This window comes from Homo sapiens, chromosome 10, assembly GCF_000001405.40.
Source record: "Homo sapiens chromosome 10, GRCh38.p14 Primary Assembly".
Classification (NCBI taxonomy): domain Eukaryota; kingdom Metazoa; phylum Chordata; class Mammalia; order Primates; family Hominidae; genus Homo; species Homo sapiens.
Window position 1 is genome coordinate 129,601,008 of NC_000010.11, and position 26,593 is coordinate 129,627,600.

The following is a 26,593-nucleotide window of genomic DNA, read 5'->3' on the forward strand; positions in this document are numbered from 1 at the left end:
AAGGGAAAGATTTTAAGGACCAGATTTAAGTAGCCTCCATATGCCTTTCCTTCTTGGTGGCATTTTTCATCTGAAAGCATTTTTTTTTTTTTTAGCTCAAAAACTTAGATGTGAAAAATTCAACGCATTGGGAAGAGGCGTCAACATTTGAACCGCAAATGATTAAACCTTTATGACTAAAGTAATAGGTTTGGCTTCAGTCTTCCCAGTGGAGTAGCAAGCAGAGGTCCTTTTCAGTTTGCAAACAGTAGTATACAAACTTGGTCCATATCAAATACTGTTTCTCTTCCAGGGCTTGTGTGTGCACTGGGAACAGCAACAAAAGTTGAACAGCAACTGGGTGGGGTTTCTTTATGTCTTCTGTTTAATCAGAGTTTCCTGATGGTTTGGCCACTTCATTCTCCTTTGGCTTAAGGGGTTCTAAGCCATGGGGCAGACCTTGGGTGGCTCACTGCTCTTGGAAGGAGGGTGTCCAGCCTTCCTGGCAGTGTGGAGATGAGTAAGGGAAACACTGCAGGGGCTTCTGGCTTCCTGGATCCTGCCCCTCACCTGGGGACTTTGTCTAAGTCCTCATCCTAGCACCACCTCGAGATCGATTCAGGCCTCCCCAGCAGTGGCAGAAATCCAACCATGGGAGCTAGTGGGTTCCATTACTGTGGAGTAGGGAAGAAGACATATGTCCCTTCTAAGTCACTTTAATTTGGTCCAAAATAAATAACCAAAGTCCTTGGGGAGACCGTCAGGGAAGTATCTTCCCACATCACACTTGGTCTTTGCAAGAAGTGCTGGTGGGCGTGCAGGGCTTCTTGACACTTCGCAGCAACGTAAGGATGTGGTAGTAGAGTGCTTGGTGTTCCAGTGGCCACTGCAATACAAATAGAGTGAGTTTTGTCGCCGTGGTACATTACAGCCATGGAAATTCCCCGTAGTTCATTGGTCCGTGACCAACAAAAATCCCCCTAGACTAACAATTAATCAGGCTCTGCTGAGCCTTTGACTGGCGACAGTTGCAGATGTCACATCATGCGAAAAGTTAAATCTCAGCTTTCCCCAAGAAGGAAAAAAAGTTTATTTTTACAGTTTATGGAACTAGTTTTCCTTTTGATCAAATGACCTGGTCTTTAGGGGAGAAATATTTTCATTTTTATGTTAGCAAGTGTGATACAGAATCATATACATTTAAAATCTTCATTTTTATTGCTTTTTTTTTAAAGTACAAAATTTTAATAGTAATAGTGATTTCAAGAAAATGTTGTGAGTGTCACTTTACTAGTCAGGCATGTTGAAAAGGAACGCGCTTCCTGAAATCTCCAAGCGAGGTTGGCATTTGAGACCTCTGGGTACGTGAGCTTAAAATTAATATAAGTACCTGAGCCTAGAGCCCAGGAGGTTTAGAAAGACTCAGAGATGCGCTTAAAGATAATTGGTGTGCTCCTCTTGTGAGAGCGGATTCACCAAAATGAAGTTAAAATTTGTTTGGGAAGTTGCTTGTACTGTGCCTTGTGAACTTACAAATCTGTGTCACAATCCAAAGGGTTGAGAGCCACACAAAGCAAAACAGATGGGCCGTGTGTCGTAGGATTTCCTGCTGTCCTTTCGGCTTCAGGTAACTAGGACTTGTGAAGCACAAGATACATGGGAGGCAAATCTGAAAAGGAATGGTGAGTGCGCCCCACGTGCCTGGGTAATACCTGAGTGCTCCCGGCATTACCTGGGGGCTGCCACCCTCCCTCCCCCTCCTTCCTTTCCAGCTCAACATTGAGGTGAACTTTTTACCATGATCGATGTAGCTTTCTGGTGTCTACACAGATTTCTGGATGGCCTCAGAAATGTCACATACTGCTTCGGGAATGTCTGCAAGTATATTTCATACATTTTACCTGGCAATTAAAAAAAAGTCATCTTTAAGATATTAGCATGTGGATACCGAGGTTCCACACAAAGCAAACAAAGAGGTCATTCTTAGCAGCTAATTTTAAATCTTCAGGCAACTATACGAACCTATGTCACAGTCTCTCCCAAAATTTATTATAATGCCCTTGTTATAAATTTAGAATATTTTTGCAAACTCATATAAACAAGTAATTGATGCGACTAAAATTCTTGTCACATATTTATTGCACTATCAGCTAAAATTTTTAAGTGACAAGAACCAAAATAATCGTTAATTTTTATAGGGCAAGGATCTGGCTTTTTGTCTGACACAAAGCTGTATAAAAAACTGCTTCTGATTTTATGCACATTGTTTTTAGTTAATGATTTTCAGCTGTTTGTTGTTTCTCTGATAGCATGAAAATGTACCATATGCTCAGCCCAAAGACAGATGATTAGCAAGTGAGATTCCGGGCAGCTGTCTGACTGAGCGCGTTGGGTTGATAGCATTCTGCTATCATAATTAGCTTAAGCTTTGGGTTAATTAACTTTCTACCTGGATATGCATAATAATAGCAAACTGCAAAAAGCAAGAAGCTTTCAGTACATCAACAACATTGCTGTCTTTTTTATTTGGTATTTCAAGAGCATATTAGAATTTCAAGAGTGATTAATCCTGGGAATATTGTCATCTACTGTAGATTTTATTTGCAAGCCAGATAATACTGAAACAATTGGAATCTATTATAGAGCAGAAATAGCATTTTAAAATTGTAATTAAAGTTTCTAAAAGCAATTGCTAATTTCAAATGCCTTTGTTGGCAAGAATATTAGGCACACTGCTTCTTGTATGGGCAGCTTGTCGGGCACAAAAAATACCAGCACTTACACTGTGAAGAATAAAACTTTCTTTTATTTAAGGGCTGTATTGAAAATAATCAGTTATTTTTATGTAATTTGAAAGTAAGATTACTCTGTAGTTTGCAGAGGTGCTGTTCAGACTCCTAGATTGAAGATATTAACCCTGTGCCCTCTTGCAGGTTCTCACCTTTGTTACCTCCTGAGCAGTGGAGGGCTGGAGGCCTGGGTAGGAGTGCCTGGTGCCCTCTTAGAAGATTTGATGTGTGCGTGTGTCTGCGGGTGCCAGAGGTCAGATTTTTCAAAAGTCAGTGCTATACATTTGTAGCTTGATATTTGTTTTCTACCCCAAGCAGTTTCTAAATCAATTTACTGATGGTATGAAATGGGGAGAGGGAGGGCTTTGTCTCCATCCTCCTCCTTGTTTGCATGATTTACCAAAGCACTCTCTACGACGCTCATCATCTGAAGGGGCTGCCGGGGCCTTTGGAGAGCACAAGCTAGTGAAGTGGATGGTGGATTTGGAGTAAAAATTGTAGTTTACATTTCCCAAAGCACCAGAGAGCCTAGCACTTAATTCTGAAATAAGTCATGCCTGTTGTTACACTCAGAAAAATATTTTATCTTCTGAAAAAAAAATTCTTTACATATGCAGTGGATGGTGAAGATTTGGTGGCGGTGAATTTGCCCTGGCTCCAGAGGACTTTACTTACAGAATCAGCAGTCGTGAAAACGTGCTTTCTCAGATGTGTGACTTGTGGTCAGTCTGTGGGCTCAGGAGCACCCATTTGGTCAATCCATGCAAGTTTTATGGGGCTGTCAGAAGCCATTTTTCAAAATTGGCTTCATCTGAGGACACGTGGAGGAGCCACTCTCTTGGTGTGGGTAGTGAAAGGAGTGGCTCCCTGTGGCTCTGTCTTGGGAGTTGGGGGCTGCAGTGGTTCACTGGGAGGAGGGGGTGCCCCTGCAGGCCCCACCTGCACCCCACCTCGCCGCCCCACCCCCTCCCCCCGGCTTTCAGGCTGTGACCTCAAGGCCTTTTATCATTTTCACAATGATGTCTCCAACAGACCTTTACCCCAGTCTCAAAAAAGATACTGCCAGAGCCTGCCTTTGCTTTTTGTTTAGTCTGCTTCGGGCTGCGTCAATAAAGATAGCAGAGGGGTCAAGAGAAAAGAAGTGAACGGAATCACAGTTTTGGTGTTGAACCCTTAAATGGGGGCCCCACTGTCTCTGCTGTGTAGCAGGCACAGGATTATCTGTCTGCCTTCTGAGATTTCTTTTAATGTTTTACCAAATTAAACATGAACAATTTCAGGATGCAAAAACTTGACTGCATCTTGTTGTTTCTTAAATAAGAGCACTTTAAGAAGGCAATATATGGAGATTCTTTTGTGGGAAAGATGTTTCAAATGGGTTATTACTGGCCATTGAAAGAAAGAAAAAGAGGAAATGCATCGAGGCCTCATTTTTTGGCCTGCACATTTGATTATTTTATTTTAAATGCCATTTCAAACATAGTGTAAACTAATGATATTATTTTTTAAAAAACTTACTCTACTATTTGCGGTCCTTGATCTTTAATTTCTTTTAATGTCAAAATTATTTATTTGGCCAGTTCCATTCCAGATGTGACTGTTGAGGGCACATTAATTTCTATTCTGTTTTCATGGGCCCCTGTCCCCATCTGTACATCATTTCTGACTTCCGTGTGCTCCCTAGGGAGTTCACTTATTCATATTGTAGGTTTCATTTGCTGTGTAAACAGAATAAACAGACAATGCAAAAATCCCCACAATACCAGAAAATAATTCTTTTCAACAACATAGTGGATCATATTTAAAAAAAAACATGGAAAATGCAATACATGTGAAGCCCATTTTTTCCACTTTATTGTCCTCCCGAGGAAAGGCTTGTGTTACCAGTGCATTTCCCTTGAATTTGATAAGTTCATTTTTATTAAAAATCCATCCCAAACAGCATTTTACGATAATTCTCAAACACGTGTTGTGGACATTTCTTTGTTTTGCGTATTAGCTTGGTCTTGCGGGTTAATTCGGAATGTGTTACTCAACTGGTATGTGCTTGCGTGGCCAAAAACACCCGTTGTGCTGTGTGTGTGTGAAAAGCAACATTCAAGAACGGTGATTTTTTTTTTTTGACATTTACAAATAAAGAGGGACATGAGTTATTTATGCTCCAATGTTGCTGCAAAGTCCTTATCTCCATTTGGCACTAAACAAGGATTTGTTGTGGGATTTGTGAGGGCTGCGCAGTGCCTCTGTGCTAAGCACCCAAAACTCTAGGGGACTGGCACTAATTTCCTCTCTCTCGTAAAACAACGTAGTATTCATAACAACTCAAGAGGCTTGACATAAGTAATGATGGCATGTGCAGGCGAAGATTACCACCCAACAGTGTAATCAAGGTGCTAGGTACTAATGCAAGTTAAATTGAGACAATAATGCCGAAACTTGCATTGTGGGATTAGGAGGGCACTTGAAATGCTGACGTGAGCACATCCTGCCTGCCTGCCTGTCTGGCGCTCCGTTCCTGTTTATACTTAATGACCTCAAAATTTGTATGTCGTTAACACCGTGTACTGAAGTGGGAGAGAACACGGTTTGGGAGGGAGAAGACTCCCTGTCTTCGTTGACTTTTGTCTCTTTTGGTAATTGGTGGCTTTTCCTGCCGTATTAGGGAGCAAAGCGTGCAGCGGGGAGGCCCCTGAGGTCTCTGTAAACATGCTGTGGGCACCGAGGGCCTCCGCACCCGGCGCTAGGCAGTAATTTACATACTTTGAATGAAAAGTCATTTGTGCCTGCAAAATTGTTATTGCTGGAAGAAATTTAAATACTAGTCATATGGAAATTTGAAATAAAGTCATATTAAATTTTGATGCTCAGATCAATATTGTGGAGCCCCGGTAATTAAAGTGGGTTTGTTTATTTGGCTCCTTATAAATAAAAAGGGCTTAATACAGACTAATTACACAGAATCTTTCGTCTACGGTGGGATAATAATGGCAGCAATTTAAAGTGATATTAAATGAGAATTAATAAAGGAATATTGAGTCACTTTGACTGTATTAAGCTGTGAAATGATTCCTCATCTCAATTTAACTTTCTGTCTTGAGCATAATGTTTGATAAGCAATGCATTTTTGTAGGAATAATCTATAACAGTATTTGACTGCAATATTTAATAACAACTAGACTTGTGACTTTATGTTGTTTTTAAATGGGCTGGGAAAGCCCGTTTTTTCTCTGCAAATTTATAGGACAACTTAGAGGGTTCTTGCCCTATGGTAGCTTCACAAGAGTTCTGAGTTGGCACCCTCCGGTTTGGGAGGTAGGTGGAGATGGCTTTGACTTTTGTTCAACTTACAAGGGAGTAACTTCTTGGAAGTGCAGTCCGGGCCAGCAGAAATGGTCATAGTAGGCCATGGTGGAAGGAGAATCAGAACCACGCGTAAATCCTCAGAAGGAAGAGGGCAGTCATTTTTTTTTTTTTCTCTTGGAGGAATATCCCGGGAAGAATTACCTGGAAGAAATCAGAGTGGTTTTGGAAGATGGATTGTCGGATAACATTTTAACTTAAGGGCTGAAGTTCCTTTCTACCTAAGTACCATTGAAGAAGTATGTTCCTGATCTTAAACATTTTTAATAGCAGTCTAGGCCAATTGACTCTGTGACCATTAAGTAATTTTCAAGTGGACTGGCTGCTGCCAGGGTGTTTGTGTTTTGCTTTGTTTTGTTTGCAGAGTAACTTGTGTGTAATTTCTTTCCACTGTGCCGCACAGCATGTCATGTCCACGTTAGCATTTCTGCCCTTTTAAAGGGTCCTGCTGAAGGTCAGGACCTCACACTGAACACCCTTTTTATATATATTACAAATTGCTGGAATTGTTCATTAATTTCTGTCTTTGAAATGCCATGTCAACCCTCTAAAGGAATTCGCAGTGCCAGTTTCCCTTGGACAGCTGCTCACCATGGTCCAGTGCGAATTTCTGATGAAATTACAGGTGCAGGGAAATGCAGAATTAGAAATATATCTGATGTTGCAATACTTGTGAAGCTATAGCTTTGTTGATGACAGGACAATTCCATTTTTGACAGTTTAATTTACTGTTGCCAGTGGACAAGAGCAAGAGGAGGACGTGGGGTTAGCCACCTGCCCCCTCGTACCGTGTTTCACATGCGAGGTTGCCAAATCATGACTCCCTCAACCTGTCGGGCTCAAATGAGAAGGTTTTCAGCTGGGAAAATGGAATATATCAGTGCATGTAATATTGCCTGACCTCATAAAACAAAAGGGAAAATTGCAGATTCTGACAGCCATTATGAATCTTGTATCAGCATCCAAAACGACTTGGAGCCAGGGTATAGTACATGTTTATAATAGAAAAAAAACGGGGTTGCCACGTTGACTTGCAATATGGAGCAAAAAATGACTTGTCATAATTCGTTCTCAGATGTTAAAGAGGCTGTTGAATTTACTAGTATATACACAGAAGAATGCGTAGCCCGGAGCAGAGTGTGGAAATAGTCCCTACACAGAGGGGTCTGCTGAAGTTAGTCATCGAGTTAGATTAGAATGGAAGGCAGGAGGGGAGGAACTCCGGGTTTGCGCCGCAGCTGCGTCGGTGGGGCCAGATTTCTCATTACAAGATGTACTGAACCTTTCCACTTTCACCCACTGTAAATCTATAAGTAATCAGGCTTCTAAAATAAAGCAAACAACCTTGTTTTGAGATTATGAGAATCATTTGAATTGAATGTATTCTGTTGGAAAACTGGTGTATTGAGGCATGGCTTTTTATCTTACGCTTAAAAAGTTTTATTTATATTAAAATAAGGCATAATCTCTCTGCGTATAATTATACGCTCTTCGATTTAGTTTTTCTATTTAATAGTCTATTCCTTCACCTTCTTGCCCATTTCTTTATGTTATTCCTTAAAAAATAATTTCTAAGTACAATAATTGTCTCAGCTGCTTTTGGTGATTTCTTTGGGAGGGGAGATGTGGAGTGACAGTCCAGGAACTTTCTGCCCAGGGGCAGGAGGCCCAGCGCGTGCTCCCCAGCTGAGGCCCCGTCCGCCTTGGCCACTCCCTTTCATCTCCCGGGCTGAATGCGGAGTGTGGTGACTTTTATTTTTTCCTTTGCTATTGGTTTAGAATGAGATGTAGCAGTTGATTTAAGTGAAGTAAAGCATGCTTACGCAGTACACTGTGTCCCTGTCGGGGCCTGCTCTCTCATGTCACCTGCCGGCGGTGGCATGGAGACAAAGCCTTCTCTCCTCTCTTACTGCTGCTGGGCCTCTCCTGGGCAGGTCCGGGCTCAGTGGCTTGAACAGGTGATGCAGGGAGGGGCAGTGCCTGTGGCCACAGTGATGGCACAGGTGGACATGATCCTGAGAGTCCAGTGGGGGCTGTAGCACAGGAAAGGAGGTTGTCTACAGCCTTTCTCACCACACCTTTCCCTCCTCAGTGGAATCTCTGGCCCCATCTGGAGTCCCTGGAGGCTGGATGGTAGAACTGGAATCGTTGGCCCGATCTGGAGCCCCTGGAGGCTGGGTGGTAGAAGTGGAGTCTCTGGCCCCATCCGGATGATGGAGGTGGAATCTCTGGCCCCATCCGGATGATAGAGGTGGAATCTCTGGCCCCATCTGGAGCCCCTGGAGGCTGGATGGTAGAAGTGAAATCTCTGGCCCCATCTGGAGTCCCTGGAGGCTGGATGGTGGAGGTTTGCTGGGGTAACCCTAGGCGGTAGGTGTTGCCACCCAAGGTGAAGAGGAACTCACAGCAGCGCTGGCTTAGCAGCTCTGTGGGGCATAACCCACTTCTTTGCAAACTCTGGTGCTGGGAGATGATGAAATGAGCACCTGGTACATTAGGTTTGGGACTTAAAGCTGATACTTCCATTCGGGAGCAGGATGAGTAAGACCTGGTGCTTCTTTGCTCAGAGCTCTCTGAGGTGGGAGGCTGGAAGCGCTTCCCTGAACACTGTAGGAAGTGTTGCAGGAGAGCGGAAGAGCAGGAGGAGGAATGGTGCAGAGGAGGAGGAGCAGTGCGGAGATTTCACCTGGGGGGACACCACCACGGGAGGCAGGCGGCAATGGTGGAGGCGTTGGCTGAGCAGGGCCTTTAGAAAAAGGCCCGGGAGCTTGGCAGCAGAAAGGAGGGTGGAAGTGCAGAAGCATCGAGATGCCCAGTGACGTCTGTGCAGTTTGGATTTTGCTGTTGAAAAGCAAAGGAGATGAATAGAAAGCTTTAGGCAGACACTGAGAGTTTTTGCTTTGGAGGTATTTTGATATATGGTAAACTATTGTTTGGATTATTTTGGAGTATGCTTTGGTCTATTATTAAATATCCCAGTCAAAGATAGCAGATATTCAATATTTGAGTTAGGATTTTTCAAATACTTAGAATATTTGAAAATATTTTTATCATTAGAATTTATTGATTTTTTGAGACACTATCATATTCTAACAATTGCACCTTATTCTTTGGCGGTATCACTGTCATTGTATTAATGGCAAAGGCTTCAAAATAGCCTGTCAGGCCCATGTCATCTGCAAGTCAACCCTCAACCCTTTCTCTCTAAACTCCTCTCCTCCAGTTTGCCAAACCACTGTGCTCCAGCCATGCTGCCCTCCTTGCTGTTCTGGAACTTGCCAAGTATGCCCCACCCCAGGGCCTTGGCATGTGCCTGGAACACTTGAGCCCCCACCCTGCACATGGCTGGCCCCTTGTTTTCTTCAGCTCTCCGTCCATATGCAATAGCGATTCCTCATGCCCCTCATAGCACTTCTGGACTTTTTCCTTGCTCTATTTTTTACCAACTAAAACAGGGGTTGGCCAACCATGGCTCTCAGGCTGGCCACCTGTTTTGCAAATACAATTTTATTGGAACACACTTATAAAGACTTGATTTCTTATGGCTGTTTTCCCTATGATGGCAGAGTTGAATAGTTGCAATAAAGTCTGACCTGCAAATCTAAAATGTGTGTAATATCTGGCTCATTAGGCAAAAGTTTGCAAAGCCCTCATCTAGGATATAGTGCATTCATTTGCCTCTGTCCCTGACTGGAATGCACCCTCCCTTAAGACAGAGCCTATCTCTGTTTGGCCCACTGCTGTATCCCTAGAGCCTACAACAGTGTCTAGCACAAAGTATGTTCTCGTGAGATACTTGAATGAATAAATGAACAAAAGTGAAAGTTCCAGCCAACAGGATGATGGGCAGTAGTTAACTATGCCTCTAATTCTGGCTTAAACTTTGGTATTTCAGCCTTTATGTATGTTCTATTTTGCAGTTTTTATGGTGCACAGGATGAAAGAACACATCAACTCCTAGGGAGTAGAGGAGGCCTGGAAATAGACTCAGATGCAGAATTGTGTGCAGGTGGCTGTTGGGGAGTGTATTCATTCATTCTCACACTGCTATTAGCATCTGAGACTGGGTAATTTATGAAAGAAAGAGGTTTAATTAACTCAGAGTTATCTGGGCTGGACAGACTTCTGCTTCTGGAGAGGCCTCAGGAAACTTACAATCATGGCCGAAAGCAAAGGGGGAAGCAAACACATCCTCATGGATGGAGCAGGAAGAAGAGAGAGAGTGAAGGGGGAGGTGCCACACACTTTCAAACAACCAGATCTCTTGAGAACTCACTCACTATCATGAGAATAGCAAGGGGGAAATCTGCCCCTGTGATCCAGTCACCTCCTACCAGGACCCTTCTCCAAGACTGAAGATCACAAGTCAACATGCAGTTTGGGTGTGGACACAGAGCCAAACCATATCAGGGAGTATTCCCAGGATACACTCTGTAAGGAAGTGCATACTGCAGGATCGGGCAAGGGAGAAGCAGGGGCTTGCATTATGACCTAGTTGCAGTTGAGGTCTCATCCTGTCCTGCAGGGAACTCTGGAGAGAGAATGACCTGTAGAGTCATCCCAAATTGAGGCCGGGGGCCTAAGTCTTGGCTCCCGGGTGCGCTCTGGGGGGGCCATAACCTTGGATGAGATGCTTCTCCCTCGAGAGCAGCGGTGAAGTATGCACCTGCCTCTGAGCTCCTAGAGCTGGGGTGTGATGCACTGGTCCTGAAACAAGGCCTGGGCAAGTACCCAGAATTTCAGTTGTCAATGGAAAGAGTCAAACTCTGTAAAATACTTATAGGGATTTATTCTGAGCCAAATATGAGTGACCATGGCCAGTGACACAGCCCTCAGGAGATCCTGAGAACATGTGCCTAAGGTGGTCGGGGTGCAGCTTGGTTTTATACATTTAGGGAGACATGAGACATCAATCAAATACATTAAGAAATACATTGGTTTGGTCCAGAAAGGCGGGACACCTTGAAGTCCAGGGGACTTCCAGCTTATAGGTAGATTTAAAAATCTCCTGGTTGATAATTGGTTGAGTTTCTCTAAAGACCTGAGATCAATAGAAAGGAATGTCTGGGTTAAGATAAAGGATTGTGGAGATGCAAGTTCTTATTTGTGGAGGAAGCCTTCAGGTAGCAGGCTTCAGAGAGAATAACTTGTAAAATGTTTCTTATCAGACTTCAAGTCTGTGTGGATGTTAGTGCCGGAGAGGTATAGCGAAGCATATCCAACCCCCACTTCCCGTCATGCCTGAAACAGTCTCTCAGGTTACATTTTGAAAGAGCCCTGGCTGCGGAGGAAGTCCATTTGATGGTTGGGGTTAGAATTTTATATTTGGTTTACAAAGTCTTGAATTAAAATATTTTATCATTACCTAGTTTTATACCCGGGAATGTTAGTTGTTGCACGTGAGGACATGAAGTGAGTTAATGCAGGGCTTGGGCCGTCCAGTGTCTTCTTTCCCCACAGCCTTGCTGGCAGTGACCCCATATAAATAGGAACAATTACCGGAAGAAACTGTGCTCCTCCTAAAGCCTAGCTAGTGACTTCCACCTTTGAACCATAGGCGAGGCAGCACTTAACCAGGGCACTGTTTGATAGGATGTTACAGGTGGTTCCAGAGAAAAACGAAACATGTCATCTTGTTAAGGGAGGTCTTCGTTTCGGCATCTCTGTAAAATATTTAAAGAGGTATTTTTATTTCTTTAAACAGGCTCTGCCTCTTCCGTCCCCCTCGCCCAATGTGGACTCTGCCCGTCCTTCCTGAGCAGTGAGACTCTGTCCCCATGTGCTTCTGGTCACAGCTGCGGTGACATCCTGTAACATTGTTTGGTCCTTGCTTAAATCAGTTACTCACCATGTTATAGCCGAGTTCAGACCCACTACACAGACCTCCTAAGGTGCTGGCCTGTCTAAAACATTATTTCCATTATTCATTCCTGTTCACTCTGGGATAGGGAAGCCATGCTCCAAGCTGTATTGGAATATCAGGTCCAGGGTAATTAGCCAGGGCCTAAAGGGTCTGTTTTGGAAAATTCAAGTACAAGTAGAATCTTCTTTAGTATCTTGGATCCACCAGGGAAGAGATGGTCTCTGAGGCCTGCTATGCAGAATAAAACCAAGAGAGTCACTGTGAAGGAATCCAAGAGATGCAAGTGCTCTTTGCTGTCCAGTGATTAAAATGAAAGCAAAGACGGGAAGCGTCCTTGATCCACATTTTGCCTGTGATTTGAATATCACATGCTTGGTCCGGGCACTTAGGTGGGCTTCAGTGATTTGGGCCGGAAGGAAATGGTGCCCCTTTCCTCGAGTTTCTAGATTGTTTTGTCACAGACAGGGGAAGCCCTCATCTGACTTGCCCTGTAGGACCCTAGTCTGTCGGGAGGTCTCTGTCCCCACCCCTCCCTGGAGTCTGGGGTGTAGTTGGGCTGACCCTCAAAATATGCTGTGTCATCAAAGGTTCATCATCTATCTGGTCTGTTTTTTAACGCAACTTGATAAAATACCAGTGTTTTAATAAAAAGGTCTAAAACATTTACCATTTAAATGAGCCTCCCTTCCTGGGATGCACACAGGAGTCTTGGCGGGAGGCTGGTGGCGCAGGCTGATGGGTCCTGTCCCTCTGTGCCTTGGGCGCCTCTGCCCAGCGTCACGCAGTGTCATGAGACCCCTCAGTGCAAGCGCAGGTCTGCCTGAGGTCCCCCCTCCCACCTGCAACCTGGATGCCTTTTGTGCCTATGGAACACAACTGAAAGGGCCGGTCAGTGCCATGGCTTGGCTAATTCATGGTGGACATGCATTTTGGTTTTTAAAATTATGGTAAAATATACATAAAATTTCCCACCTTCACCATTTTTAAGAGTCCAGCTCAGCAGCTGTCAGTGCATTCACACCGTCGTGCAGCCATCACCACCACCCATCCTCAGAGCCCCTCATCTTCCCACAGGGAAACTCCATCCCCATTGAGCACAGACTCCCCCTTCCCCAGCCCTGGCACCCACCCTTCTACTGTCTCTATGAGTCTGACTACATCACATAAGTGGTACAGCCATTGTCTTTTGTGACTGGCTTATTTCATGGAGTATCATGTCCTCAAGGTCCATCCGTGTTGTAGCACGTGTCAAAAGGTCCTTCCTTCCTCAGGCTGGATATGGGCTCTTTAAAAGCCTATTTTCTTAGAGCAAAACCCGTTTCCCCCACACCTGATCGTCACAAGCCGTCTAAGACACGTGGTCTAGGGTTTGCTAGTGATCGTCTGTGGGCTTTCCGAGCCTGCGCTGGTTTTGCTGCCACAACCTGAGGTCCGCGGACGTCCCTGTGCTCGCTATGACTTCTTTGTGTGAGACTGTCAGAGTGTGTTCCTGGCCCTGACACGTGCTCGGCGGCTGGTTTTTCTCCTTCAGATCAGCGGCCTTGGACAGCTTTCGCTTCTTTGGCAGCCGTTTCAAGCTGCTCCGTCTTGTCATTTTAGAGTTCAATATCTGCTGCTCTGAAGGAAGAAACGGGGATGGGCTGGACCATTGCACTTGGTCTCTTGACCTCGATGTTGCCCATGAGCAGTGAAGGATGACTTTTGACGAGCCATGTCAGATGTGACAGGCAATCTAGTTGGCTTGAGTGGAAATGTGCTGTACAAGTTTGAAGCCTTGGTTGGGGGCATTTTTCTGGTGTTCAATGCATTTAAATTGACACCAGACTTCAGTATGTTGTTCATTTCAGGCCCAGCACTGTAGGCTCCCATCTTTAAAATGTGTGGGTGCCGAGCGCTCCCTCGTCAGCTTTTGCAAAGCATTTTGCATATTCCCAGTACTGTATTTACATTCCTGGCTCACATTGGTTTTTGTTTTTTGTTTTTCCTATCTTAAAGCTTATTTTTGAAGTGAATTTTTAATGCTTTCAGTTGAGTAGGGATTTGTGGAATTTTGAGGGGTGGGGAGGTGCAGTGGAGAAAAGGGGGAAAATGGTTGTTTCTTGGCTCTCAGCATAAGCTACATTTTCCATCATATGGAGTGAGATGCCTATATTGGGCAGCTGTGATTTTAAGTGAAAGTCATTTCCAGTTGTTTCTAATGTCTAGAAATTAGGTTTGTTTTGATTTTAATTGTCAAAGGAAGGGACTGTGGGTGAGGAAGAGCCCTTGCCGCCGCCTCCCCTGACGTGCCCCTGCTTGGGCAGACGCCTCCCTGGTGAGGTGTGGGCTGCGCTGGACAGCACCCAGGACCACGGCCTCGTTCTTTTCCTTCTCACTGTGTTTTCCTCTTGGGTAGGGGTGAGGGTGGTTATTTTACTCAGATCTCTGAGCCTTAAAGTGGATCTTCTGCAGATCATCTCCAGAGTCATCTGACGGCGCCGGGCAGAAGTCTGTATGTTGGGAGCTGTCCCCAGCTCCTCTCCTTAGGACTTCTGAATCTGCTTCAACCAAGCATATTCCTGCCTCATCCGGAACATTCCTCACCCTCTGCCCCAGTGCAGGCGGTGTCCACATCTCAGGGATGCAGCGTGGTGGAATTTTTAAGGTTTTGGTTGGCGTGGATGAGAGCATCTCTGCTGAGGCTGCCGTGCGGGTGTGGGCTGGGTGCATCTGTGTCTCTGGGCACCATATACCAAGTGGCACTCATCCCTGTGAGAACATGGCCTGGGCATTAGAGGATAGGATCCTTAGTGTGAGGGAGGCCTCAACCATAAAGGGACTGAGGGGAGAGACAGGAAGGGTCCAGGTATAAGAAGAGCTGCCCACGGCAGGGGGTGTGGCAGTGGGACCAGGATGAATGGGTCTCAGTAATGTGGCTCCTTCCCCAAGCTGGGGAGCAAGGGAGGCTTCTGCTGTTGGGTGTTGAAGAGGAATCTTTGGTTTGCAGATGGGGGTGGGGTGGGTCTTTGCCCATCCTCTGATCGTATGTGTAGAAGTTTGCAACATGAAGGGCAGACTGTGGTGGAGTTCTTTGGCAGTTAGGAAAGCAAGCCAGGGCACAGACGTGTTCTCTGAAAGGCAGGGTGTGGGCACCACAGGGTCAGCCCTGCAAACAAGAGCACTGAGCAGAGGGAGCGGCGATTGGATTGGAGAACGGAGGCTCCCACCTGGCTCACATACTCCTACATACATGCCACACGCATGCCACGGTGCTTAGGAATCTTGAAAGCTGCAGGCTCAGGGGAGCTGCGATGCTCATCGTGAAGATGCAGAGCCGGAGAGGCCGCCCAGGCAGGAAGGCCAGTGCTGGTCGCCTCCAGGTGGTCTCAGGATCCCAGAGCAGGAGGCAGCCATGTGGTGCTGAAGGGGAAGCGAGGGCATAGAAGCTGTGCCCTGGAGCTGGAATGGTAGACAGGGCTTTCTTAGTGCCAGGGCCTGCAAATTCCCAACAAGGGCTCACTGGAATCCTCCTCCCGCCATCCTCCCAGGCCCCCCATTGGCCGGCCAGGCCCCTGGATTACCTCTCTGGTGCCCTGTCCTCCTCCATGCTCTCCTCTAAGGGCCCTCACTGGCACCTTTGCCCTCCTTAACCAGGTAACACTAAACCAGGAGACATCTAGAATCCTGTTTGAGACATCTTCGAGAGTCACCTTGTTAACTAGACAGAAGTGGATCTCTACAGGTTAGAGCCTGGGGAACCTCTGTTTTCTTTGTGATATTCTCTAGTGAGTGTTCCAGGAAAGAACATGCCCCACTGTCTCCTTTCTACTTGCAGATAGCGGTGAGGTGGGAGAGGGGCCTGGGAGTGTGCTCTTCATTCTCCACCTCCTCCCCCGAGGAGGTGGTCATGGTCACTCGCTTGACGAGCCCAGACTCTGAGCTTCTGCCCCTTTATTGAGCAAATTCATAAAGTCAACCATGCTCTTTTATTATGTAACTTGTTTTTTAGATTCAGGGGTACATGTGCATGTTTGTTGTATAGGTAACTTGCCTATCACAGGGGTTTTGTGTGTGGATTATTTCTTCATCCACATGATAAGCACATGATAAGCATAGTACCCAATAGGTAGGTCTTCAATCCTCACCCTCCTCCCACCCTCAAGTAGGCACCGTTGTCTGCTGTTCCCTTCTTTGTGGCCATGTGTACTCAGTGGTTAGCACCCACCTCTAAGTGAGAACACATCCATGTTGCTGCAAAGGACAACATGGATGCAAATGATCTCATTCTTTTATTATGGCTGCATAGTATTCTGTGGTGTATATTTACCACATGTTCTTTATCCAGTCTCCTATTGATGGGCCTTTAGGTTTAGTCCATGTCTTTACTATTATGAATAGTGCTGCAGTGAATATACGCGTGCATGTATCTTTATGGTAGAACCGTTTATATTCCTTTGGGTGTGTGCCCAATAATAGGATTGTGGATTGAACAGTAATTGTGTTTTAAGTTCTTTGAGAAGTCACCAAACTGCTTTCCACAGTGGCTGAACTAATTTACATTCCCACCAAGAGCGTATAAGCATTCCGTTTTCTCTACAGCCTCACCGGCATCTGTTATTTTTTGACTTTTTAATAAAAACCATTCTGACTAGTGTGAGATGGTGTCTCACTGTGGTTTTGATTTGCATTTCTCTAATGATTAGTGATGTTGAGCATTTTTTTCATATGCTTGTTGGCCATATGTATGTCTTCTTTTGAAAAGTGTTTGTTCATGTCCTTTGCCCACTTTTTTTTTACAGAGTTGATTGTTTTTTGCTTGTTAATTTGTTTAAGTTCTTTATGGTTTCTGGGTATTAGACCTTTGGGGGATGCATAGTCTGCAAAGTGTGCTTCTTATGCAAGCACCCAGCCTTCCGGCACTGGGACGGGCCACATGGGAGGAGCCAAAGGATGGGAGAGTTTACCCCCTCCAGCCCATGAACTTGCTGTGAGGACCCCTCCTGCCATATACCCTCCTGGGTGTGAAGAGGCCTCCTGTGTGGGCTGCACCACTGTCTCCGGGATTCTTGGCCTGGAGGCATCTCTGAAATTTCTCAGAATGCCCAATTTGCACCAGAGATAGAGCCAGGCCCCTTGGGATGGAAAAGGAAAAGAAACTAGATTTACTTTTTAAAGTTTCTAGAACTTCTTTGGTATCCCTAGAAAACTTTTTTTAAAAAGGATTTTCTTTTTAAGTTGGATTTCTATCCATTATTTACCTGAGACATAATTTCAGCTGATCAAAGTTTAGAGTGCTGGCAAGTGCCAAGCCTTACGATAGATGTTGTACCTTTTGACAAATGACCATGTATGCACAGCTCTGTTTCTGGACTCTGTTCTATCCATTTTTCTGCTTGTCCTCATGCCAACATGGCCCCGACTTCATTGCTGTGGCTCTGTAGTAAGTCTTGGTGTCTTGTAGAAGTTCTCCAAATTTCGTTGTTTTTTCCACAATTGTTTTGGCTCTTCTTAGTCCTTTGCATTTCCATGTAGAATAAGTGGATTAATTAGTATAGAAAAACCTGTGATTTTCATTCAACTGCATTCAATCTATAGATCTATTTGCAGAGATATTTCACAGTTTTGAGTCTTGATCTTTGATTGTGGCGTATAGCTCCATATTTGTTTTCTTTGATACATCTCAACATGGTTTTGTAATTTTTTGGTATACAAATCTTTTAAATATATTCCACATAAATTTATCCATAAGTTTTTCATGTGTTTTTGTTTTGTCCTTTAAAAATGCTATATTTTTAGTTTCAATTCCCAGTATTTCTTTGCTAATGATGAGAATTACAGGAGCTTTCTGTAAATTTGTCTAGTATGCTGTGAGTTTGCTGAACAAATTTATTCTAGTTCTAGTTGCCCAAGGATTCTTTAGTATCTTCCATGTACGTGAATATCTTGTTTGAGAATGAAGACAGTTTTGTTTCTTCCTTTATACTATGTATGCTGTTAGTTTCTTTTTCTTACTTTATTGTACTGGCTAGGGTCTCCATACTGCATTCAACAGGAGTTGGGGAAGTAAACATCCTCTGTTCCTAATCTTAGGGGTGAAGCACTCAGTATTTTACTGTTAAATATAAATACACATTCTTGTAAATTCCCATTGAAGTTCTATTCTTGTAGGCTGAGAGTTTTATTACGGAAGGGTGTGTCATTTTGTCAGGTGCCTTTTTGCATCTGTTGTAATGTTTATGTGGTTTCTGTCTTTTATTCTGATCATATGGAGAAATGCAGTAATTGATTTTCTAATGCTCAACAAACCTTGCTTGTCTTTGATAAGTGCCACTTGCTTTGAGAAATGCATGCATACATCTCTCTGTATATATATGTGTATAATTCCAGCATTATTTCTATATACATAGAAATAATAAATATACAAATAATGCTGGTTATATTTGCTAATATTTTACGAATTACGGGATACTGGTCTGCAGTTTTCACATTTTGTCTTTTTTAGGCTTTATTATCGGGGTAATGCTGGCTTCATAAAATGAACTGATGTATTCTCTCTTGTACTGCTTTTTAAAATTGTTTAGGATTGGTATTTTTTTTATTTAAGTGTTTAAAAACATCTGGGCCTGGAATTTTCTTTGTGGGAAGGTTATTACTTAATTTAAAAAATATATGCAATACTATTAAGATTTTGAATTTCTTCATGACTCAGTTTTGGTTATCTGTCTTTCAAAGAGTTTGTTTTATCTAAGTGGTTGAGTTTATTGGCATTAATTGTTCGTAATCTTCTCTTATCCAGTTATCCCTCTCAGGTCTCTAGGGCACGCCATGATGATGCTATTCCACTGCCCTTTTTTCCATTCCTGGAATGGTACTTCCCACCTTCTAAATCAGTCTTGTTACAGGTTTATTCATTTTCTCAGTTCTGTATTTTATTGATTTTTATTTTTTTGTTATTTTGTGTATTTTACTCTCTTTCTACTTTCTAAGATAGAAGCAGTGGGTCCCACTGAAGAAAAGCAGATAGCAGGCACTAAATTTCCCTGTAGGGTTAACTATGTCAGCCTGACAGACCCCAGGCTGTGTGTCTTTGGAGGACAGAGACATTGGAGGCCGTTCATGATCCTTTCTAAGATTGGTCATTGATAGGAAACTTTGTTTGTTAAGTAATATAAGTATTCAAAACTAGACATTAACTTCTAAGCAGTGCTTAAGCAGCATTCTACATGTTTTGATAGGGATTGTTTTTTAATATCACTCTGTTAAATATTTATGTACTGTAATTATTGTAAATGGTGATTACACTGTTCCATGTGCATTTGCGAGAATATACCCTGCCATTGTGTGCAGTCTTCTATAAATGTACGTTGGGTCAGGTTGTTTTGGCGTGTTGTGCAGGTCTTCCCTATCTTCTGACTTTGTCTCCCTGTTCAATCAGTCGAGAAAGGAGTGTCGAAGTCTGCAACTCGAATTATGGATTTGTCTCTTTTCCCCTTTGGTTCTGTCAACTCTTGCCTTGTGCCTTCTGTACATTTGCTAGTAGGTGCCTAATCACATGAGATCATGACGTCCTCCTGATGTGCTGGCTCCTTAACAGTATGAAATGTACTCTTTATCTCCAGCCATTTTTCTTACTCTGAAGTTACTTTGATATTAATATTGCTAGCTTTCTTGTGATTTGCCTATGCATGTGTTATACTCTTTTCCATCCTTTTGCTTTTGATCTATTTCTTTATATTTATAGTGTGTTTCTTGGAACCAGGATATAGTGATCCAGTATGCAAGTCTGTACTTTTTATTTGAAATGTTTTAGTTAATGTACTCATCAATAGGTATGGGTTTAGTCTGCCGTTTTGCTGATTTTTTCATTTGTACTTTTTATTCTTCATTCCTGTTTTCCTAATTCCCTGCCTTCTTTTGGATTGAATCCTTTTTTGATTTCATTTTATAATTACTATTGCGTTATTAGTGCTACCTTTTTTTAAGTAGTTTGTTTAGTACAGTACTTTTTGTTAGAAATTCCAGAAATGATGGAATGCGCTGTATCCACACTGTCCAGTATGGCAGGCACTGGCCACCTGTAGCTGTTGAGCACTTGACATGTGACTCGGGCAACTGAAGGAACTGGGTATGCAATTACGTTTAATTTTAAATAATTTAAATATAAATAGCCACTTGGGGATACCTGCTACCACACTGGGCAGGGTGACTGTAGGGTTTCTAATATTATTGTTAACTTCTCATGATCTACATTGAAAATGGTGTTCTGTGACGTCACATGCAATGCAAGACCTTCACCACAGTGAACTTCCATTTGCCCCTTGAAGTCCCATGTACACGGCCATTGATCTTACTTCTACATGTTATAGACTCTCAAATACATGGTTGTGACTTTTTCCTTTAAACAGTCATTTGTCGAGAAATAATCATTTAGAATTGAAATTGAAAGTGAGAAAGTACTCTTTTCACGTACGCATTTTGATGTTCTAAATATGTTGAAAGGGCGCAGGGGGGTTTAATGCCCTTCATCAGATCTGTGCTACCTTGTGGACAGTAATTGGAAAGGATGGGGAACAGGGACGCACGAGTGGGTAGATGAATGCGAGGCTGTTGAAATGGTTCCATGGTGAGCAGTGCATGGTTGCTTGGAACAGGAAGGAGCGGAGGTGTTAAGAAGTGGTTGAATTTGGGATCTCTTTGGAAGTATGATGCTCCAGCTGTTATCAGCAGAGCTGTAAGTGAAATGTACTTTGATTGTTTGTTGAACATCCTTGCCACCTTTCCTATCGAATTTGCTTTTCAAAAATAGTGTGGACATTAAAAAGCCATCCCCATGTGCCTAATTTCAATTAGAAAATGTTGAATCACTGTGAATTTGGTGAGTCATCCTGCATGTAAGTAGAGCTATCCATCTAACTCTTAGAATTTGTTAACTATTAAGAGAGGAAGACAGAAGGTAATATAGAGATGACTATTTATGAGTCATTTTATTTATTCATTATCCATCTAAAGAGTAGCAATTGATTGTATCACAGAACGGTGTTTGTTTTACATCTTTTGATTAGGAGCAGTGGTTTATGGCATAGACTTGCTTAATTTCCTCCTGTTTCTTCCTCTGGAGTGGATAACTGTTTCACAACAGAAGGCGATAAAAGATTTCTGGTTTATTCATTAATTTTGCTTTGAGACGGAATACCTGATCTCAAGGATAAGATGCTGATTGGTATGACCTGAATCGAATGATTAGCAGTATGTTGCCCTTACTCTGATCTCCCCACAGTGTGAGAGATTTTCTCATCTTCGCATCAGTTTTTAGCCATGTTTTGGTGTTTAAGCAGAGATACGATTCCACTTTGAAAGCTCTGGAAGTAATTCTCAGATCACATATATTCATCTCAAATTTGAAATCTGGAGTGTTTGTCTTGAAATTAAATTGTGGTATTGTAAGCTGTCAGTGGCATGATCTGTGCTGGAACCTGATGCGGTCTAGTTTACACGGTATTGAATCATGTAAGTATCTCATCTTTCCTCTTTGAATTCAGTATGACTTCACATAGGTGAGGTTAGCTTTTAAGTGTACACAGAGGTATGGTTAACTATCAGCAGACTTCAGTTATCAATTGCTGATCTCAGAAAGCTAATTTATCTTTAGTGTCCAATAACATTACATGGCTTTCTTTCTTTGTTTTATGTTTTGTGTATATGTGCTTAACTGTTTAAATAAGTTCTGGATTGCATCCAAATAAGGTTTGATATGCTCTCATTAAGAATATGATATTGTGAATAAATGTAATCCTGACTTTCAATAAATGGCCTGTAAAAAAAAAAAGAAAGTATTTAGAGTTAGTGAGTTGAGGGGCTTCGTCACATGGCTAAAGGAGATTTGAGTAGCCCCTGGAATGTTGAGTGACTCTGACTTGTGGAATGCATGGAGCCCCGTTTCGTTGGCTGGCAGGATCTACGTGGGCCGAGCATACAGCCCTAGATGAATGACTTATGTCTCTGAATTCTGTTCCTAATCTCTGCTGCTCAATCTGTGGCCACCTGCAGAGGAGCCAGCCGGATGGCATCGTCCTTACCGAGCTCTCTGGTTGTCAGATCCTTCACTACTCCTTAGTGGCTGATTACTCTGCGTAGTGTAGGGTGCTGTAGGGTGCATAACTGATTAGTGCCTTGCAGATATAAGCAAAGTTTACAATGAAGCCCTTGCGCTTAGGAGCATACAGTCTAGTTATGAAGAGAAGACACAAAACACCCAGTCACATCACTGTGAACAGACAAGTTTGCCAGGAGTCTGTTCAGACCTGGTGCTCCCTGAGCCGCGCTGAGCAGCAGTTCAGCGGGGATACCAAGTTGGGGAAGATGCCAAGTGGTAGGAAGGAGGCTGGGGCTCTGGTCTGCACATGCCAGCTGATGGAGTTTGGAGTTGGGGGGATATGGCCAGTTCCCAATGCACTGGACCAGCCACCATCCAGAATTAGGAAGTAGATCAGCCCGTGCCTGGCATGCATTGCTTTCTTTTCAGTTTCTAACATATATATAACCTTTTTAAGTATATATATATGTATGTATATATATAACTTTAGTTATAGAGTCTCGCTGTTTTGCCCAGGATGGAGTACAGTGGTGCAATCATAGCTTGCTGTAGCCTCAAGTGATCCCTCCCACCTCAGCCTCCCAAGTAGCTGGGACTACATACGTGCACCACCACGCCTGGCTAATTTTTTTGAAAGGACAAGTCTTGCTATGTTGCCCAGACTAGTCACCAACTCCTGGTCTCAAGCAGTCTTCCTGCCTTGGCCTCCAAAGGAGTTAGGATTACAGGCATAAGCCACTGTGCCCAGCCTAATCTATATAACCTTTCAAACAGGTATCTCCATTTGTATACTAGGGGAGAATGTAGACCCCACACCCTCTTCCTCAAGAAACAACTTGAACGCATGCCATTCTGCCATCTCAGCCAAGGCGATTGCCTGTGCCCTTCCCAAGGGCTTGGAGACACCCTCTCCCTGCTAGCCCCGTGCAGGGGTCTTCCCATGTGTACCCTGCAGCACCGTCCACCTGTCTGAGTTCGATGGGGCCTCCAGGCCCCCTGCCTTGGTGAGGCAACACGCTCAGCGCCTGCGCGAATCTTCTTGCCCATCAGTTCCTTTTCCTTTTATCCAGGATTTCACACACTGGGACATTTTGTGCCAACAATTATTAATCAGTTTTAAGATTGACTGGGTTTGTGGACTGTGCCCAGGGTTTGTGCACCTCACTCACGGCAGATTTCCTGGCAGCCCTGGGGATGGTCCTGCTCCCCCGGGGACAGTTTCCATCTCATGGTGTAGCTTTGGGAGTGGGGCCCACTGAAGAAAAGCAGATAGCAGGCACTGAAGTTCCTGCAGCCTGTTGGACCCCGGGCCGTGTGTCTTTGGAGGACAGAGACATTGGCCTACAGTAAAATAAAGTCAGATGAGAAAGGGTGGGGAGGCTTTCCTGCTGTAAAGGGATTATGTATTCATACTCGAAATAGGGATACATTAGGGGAATAGATTGTAATCTCTACATCCCCAATCCATGAAAACAAAACAGAAATGGAGGGCCAAGAAACCTACACAGGGAAGACACGAAATAGCAAACATACCTGATTTATCCAAGGGAAGGCAGAGGAGGGAAACGAAAGGATGAATAACAGGTGAGGCAAGCAGGACATAACTCGTAGGATGGTCAGCATGCCCAGTGCGGCGGCGAGGACTTCGGAAGTCAGTGGACCCAGTGGAGACTCAGATGAAAATCAGAGATGGTCTCACTGTGGGAACATGGTGTGCAACCATAGACTAAGGCGGCACACCTTAAACATAGCCTAAGAGATGCACCGTGCAGGGCAGGCACCCACATGAAGCGGCTATGTAAACGTGACAAAGTAGATATTAAGAAAAGTAGGAAGGAACAGTAAAAATAAGATCAGATATCAGCAAAGCAGAAAATGGTATTACAGAGATGTTAACAAAGGCAGAAATTATGTCCTTGGAAAGAGTCGTAAAAATTTTCAAAATTCCCAGCCAAACCTGATGAAGAAAAATGAAATGACAAATAATATAAATGAAAAGGAAAGATCACTACAGAATCTACAAATATTCAAAGATAATGAGGATGTTATTTAAAACTTTATGTTGACAAATTTGACAGTTTAGATACAATGAGCTAAGTTTTTGTCAGAGCTTAACAATTTAATCTAAAGAAATCAAAAATTGAAAATTAAAAATCTTCCCTCAAAGAAAAATCTAGGCCCATACAGCTTCACTGTTCAGTTTTATCAAATAGTTAAGGAAGAAGTAATTCCAATCTTATATTAGCCCTTTCAAGGAATAGCAGAAGAGAGAATAATTCCTAGCTTGTTTCATAAGACCAACACAACCATGACACCAAGATGCCAAGATGTGTCAAGGATGTTTGAGAAATGGTAACCACAGACCAATGTCTCTCATGAACCCAAATTTTAAAATCCTAATAAAATATTAGAATGTCAATTTTACAATATAGAAAAATATGTATATTTCCAGTGGGGTTTATTCCATTCAAAAATCAATCGGTGTAATTCTCCACATTCACAGAGGAAAAGAAAAGAACTTTATGATGATAATGATCATAGTAACCAAAAAAAGCATTTGACAAATTTCAACATCCATTCACGATGAAAATGCACTGCAAAGTAAGAATATAAAGGAAATTCTCTTACATGACAGCGTGTATACGAGTGTGCACACGTGTGTGTGCGTGTGTGTGCATGCATGTATGTGTGTGTACACGTGTGCACCTGTGGTTTTCTCTCCATGTTTCTTCCAGTACTGATCAGGGTTGCTTGTTTTCAGGAGTTTTCAAGTGCTCTACCTTCAAGTTTTCCCCAGCTAAATCTTTCCCATTTCTTTCTCTAAATCCCTTTTTGATATTTGCAGTTCTTTTCAACTTACCACCAATATTTTAGTCTTGATTAGAATCTTCCCAGAAAAGACAAGTTTTCCTTCTGATTCCCACATGTCCCTTCAGCTCGTGATGGCGCAGAATATGTTTGCTTGCCAGTTAGGGGAACCTGAGGCTGCCTTCCTGGGCAGAGTGGCGATTTGTACTGGGCCAACGGGGCAGCCACTGTTACTTATGGACAGGTGGACTAGGCTCTTTTTCATCCTGAGGAACTGCTCCGCGCTTGGGAAGAGCCACTGGAGTTTATCAGCCTGCGTGTAAGCATGTGGGAAGGGGGATCAGGAACATTTAGTAGAATAGTCCGTGCTCCAGGTGATCAGTCCCCACCCACCCGCATGCCTCTCCTTCTCCATCCCACCCGCATTTTGGGTCATTGGGGGATTAATTTATTCGTGTCTCGTAAGCACTGGCAGAACACCACCCGTGTGAACAGCATTGGTGAAGCCTGGGGAGTTCTTTTTGAGACTTCCTTGAGCTTCCGGCAGCACGTGTGAGTTTCGGGGGTGATTGGAATGTTTCTCCCTGGAGGGAGGCCTGATGCCCTGGAGCTGGCTCCAGCCCGAGCCCCGCGGCATGTTCTGCCTGCTGCCGCCTACCTGCAGGGAGACGCCTGAGCTGGGAAGGTTCTGAGGGTTGGCAGGGTGCTCTGCTGTGCTCTTTGGGAGGATCCCCTTGGCTGTTCTGCATGCCCAGGGCCGTGCTCTCCGTGGAAATCTATGTTGGAGACGACAGGCTCCGGTTCCAGCTACACCAGCCTGACTTCCACTGGACAGTGCCATTTTCTGCCTCTGATAACACCGTGGTGAAGCGCCTTACGTAAAGCAACAGATTTTTTGTTTTAAGATGCACTATAATTACTCTTTTCAGAACCAATAATATTAACCCAGTGAAGTCAAAACTGAATTGTTTTATAAACTGACTATGGAGCTGGTGTAAGGAGATGCAGGGAAGGCTTCTCATCTGAGTCGGTAGCAGAGTACATAGTGCAAGAAGCGTGGGCAGGCTCCCAGCGCACCCAGAGATCAAGGAGAGTGATGGGTGCTGCCCGCCTCTGAGGGGACGGAGGCAGCTGCCACCCGCCGTGTCCCTCACGCTGGCTTTCAGAAGGCTTCACGCAAGTGGGCTCACAGGCAAGAAGAAAAGCTGTGGGCCGTGTGTCTCCCTTGGCTATGGCTCAGTTTTAATGTAATTAGAAGCTCAACTTGAAAGTGAGATATCAAAGGAAGCCTTCAGTTGCTGAAGATGGGTGTGCTGGGGGATGAGGGCGTGGGTTGAAAAGTATCCAGTTACTGTTTTTCTCACGTGGATCAGTCTAACATATGTGACTCTGGTAATTGAAGATGGTGACAGGCTAAACTAAGCTGGGATTCCCCAGGGAGAGACTAGGATTTCTGGAACCAGTCTAACAAAAACAGAAACTTGAAGGAGAAAACAGAATATGCCTCCCTCTCTTCCCTGCTTCCCTCCTCTACTCAAAAAAAAGAAAGAAAGAAAAAAGCAGCTTTTGCAATGAAGAATTCAGTTTTTCGCCCCCGAGTGTATGATGGTAGTGACTTTGGTGTTCCTGGTGCAGACCTGTATTTTTTTGTGATGTCTTCATCTGGCCCCTCGCCCTCCACTCTTCATGATGAATATGAGACCTGTGCACTGAGGGTCCTCA

The 26,593-nt window shown here is 43.8% G+C and overlaps 1 protein-coding gene across 1 annotated transcript in view, besides 6 other annotated features; it reads left to right on the plus strand.

The window, feature by feature from the left end:
* Positions 1 to 26,593, plus strand: part of MGMT (O-6-methylguanine-DNA methyltransferase) — a 303,743-nt gene that overhangs the window by 133,767 nt on the left and 143,383 nt on the right. The window lies entirely within an intron of this gene.
* Positions 854 to 913: an enhancer, noted in NCBI's record as "active region_4204". NCBI's record gives its function as "activates an Ori minimal core promoter by ATAC-STARR-seq in GM12878 lymphoblastoid cells {active_cell/tissue: GM12878}" and the evidence as "EXISTENCE:reporter gene assay evidence [ECO:0000049][PMID:35858748]".
* Positions 1,130 to 2,329: an enhancer, noted in NCBI's record as "BRD4-independent group 4 enhancer chr10:131400401-131401600 (GRCh37/hg19 assembly coordinates)". NCBI's record gives its function as "activates an origin of replication core promoter dependent on BRD2, P300/CBP, MED14 and CDK7 cofactors, and independent of BRD4, by STARR-seq in HCT116 cells {active_cell/tissue: HCT116}" and the evidence as "EXISTENCE:reporter gene assay evidence [ECO:0000049][PMID:35650434]".
* Positions 1,130 to 3,008: a biological region, named in NCBI's record as "VISTA enhancer hs656".
* Positions 1,677 to 3,008: an enhancer, noted in NCBI's record as "VISTA enhancer hs656". NCBI's record gives its function as "enhancer in: forebrain[4/6]" and the evidence as "EXISTENCE:transgenic organism evidence [ECO:0001131][PMID:17130149]".
* Positions 3,502 to 3,581: a silencer, noted in NCBI's record as "silent region_2939". NCBI's record gives its function as "represses an Ori minimal core promoter by ATAC-STARR-seq in GM12878 lymphoblastoid cells {active_cell/tissue: GM12878}" and the evidence as "EXISTENCE:reporter gene assay evidence [ECO:0000049][PMID:35858748]".
* Positions 3,662 to 3,751: a silencer, noted in NCBI's record as "silent region_2940". NCBI's record gives its function as "represses an Ori minimal core promoter by ATAC-STARR-seq in GM12878 lymphoblastoid cells {active_cell/tissue: GM12878}" and the evidence as "EXISTENCE:reporter gene assay evidence [ECO:0000049][PMID:35858748]".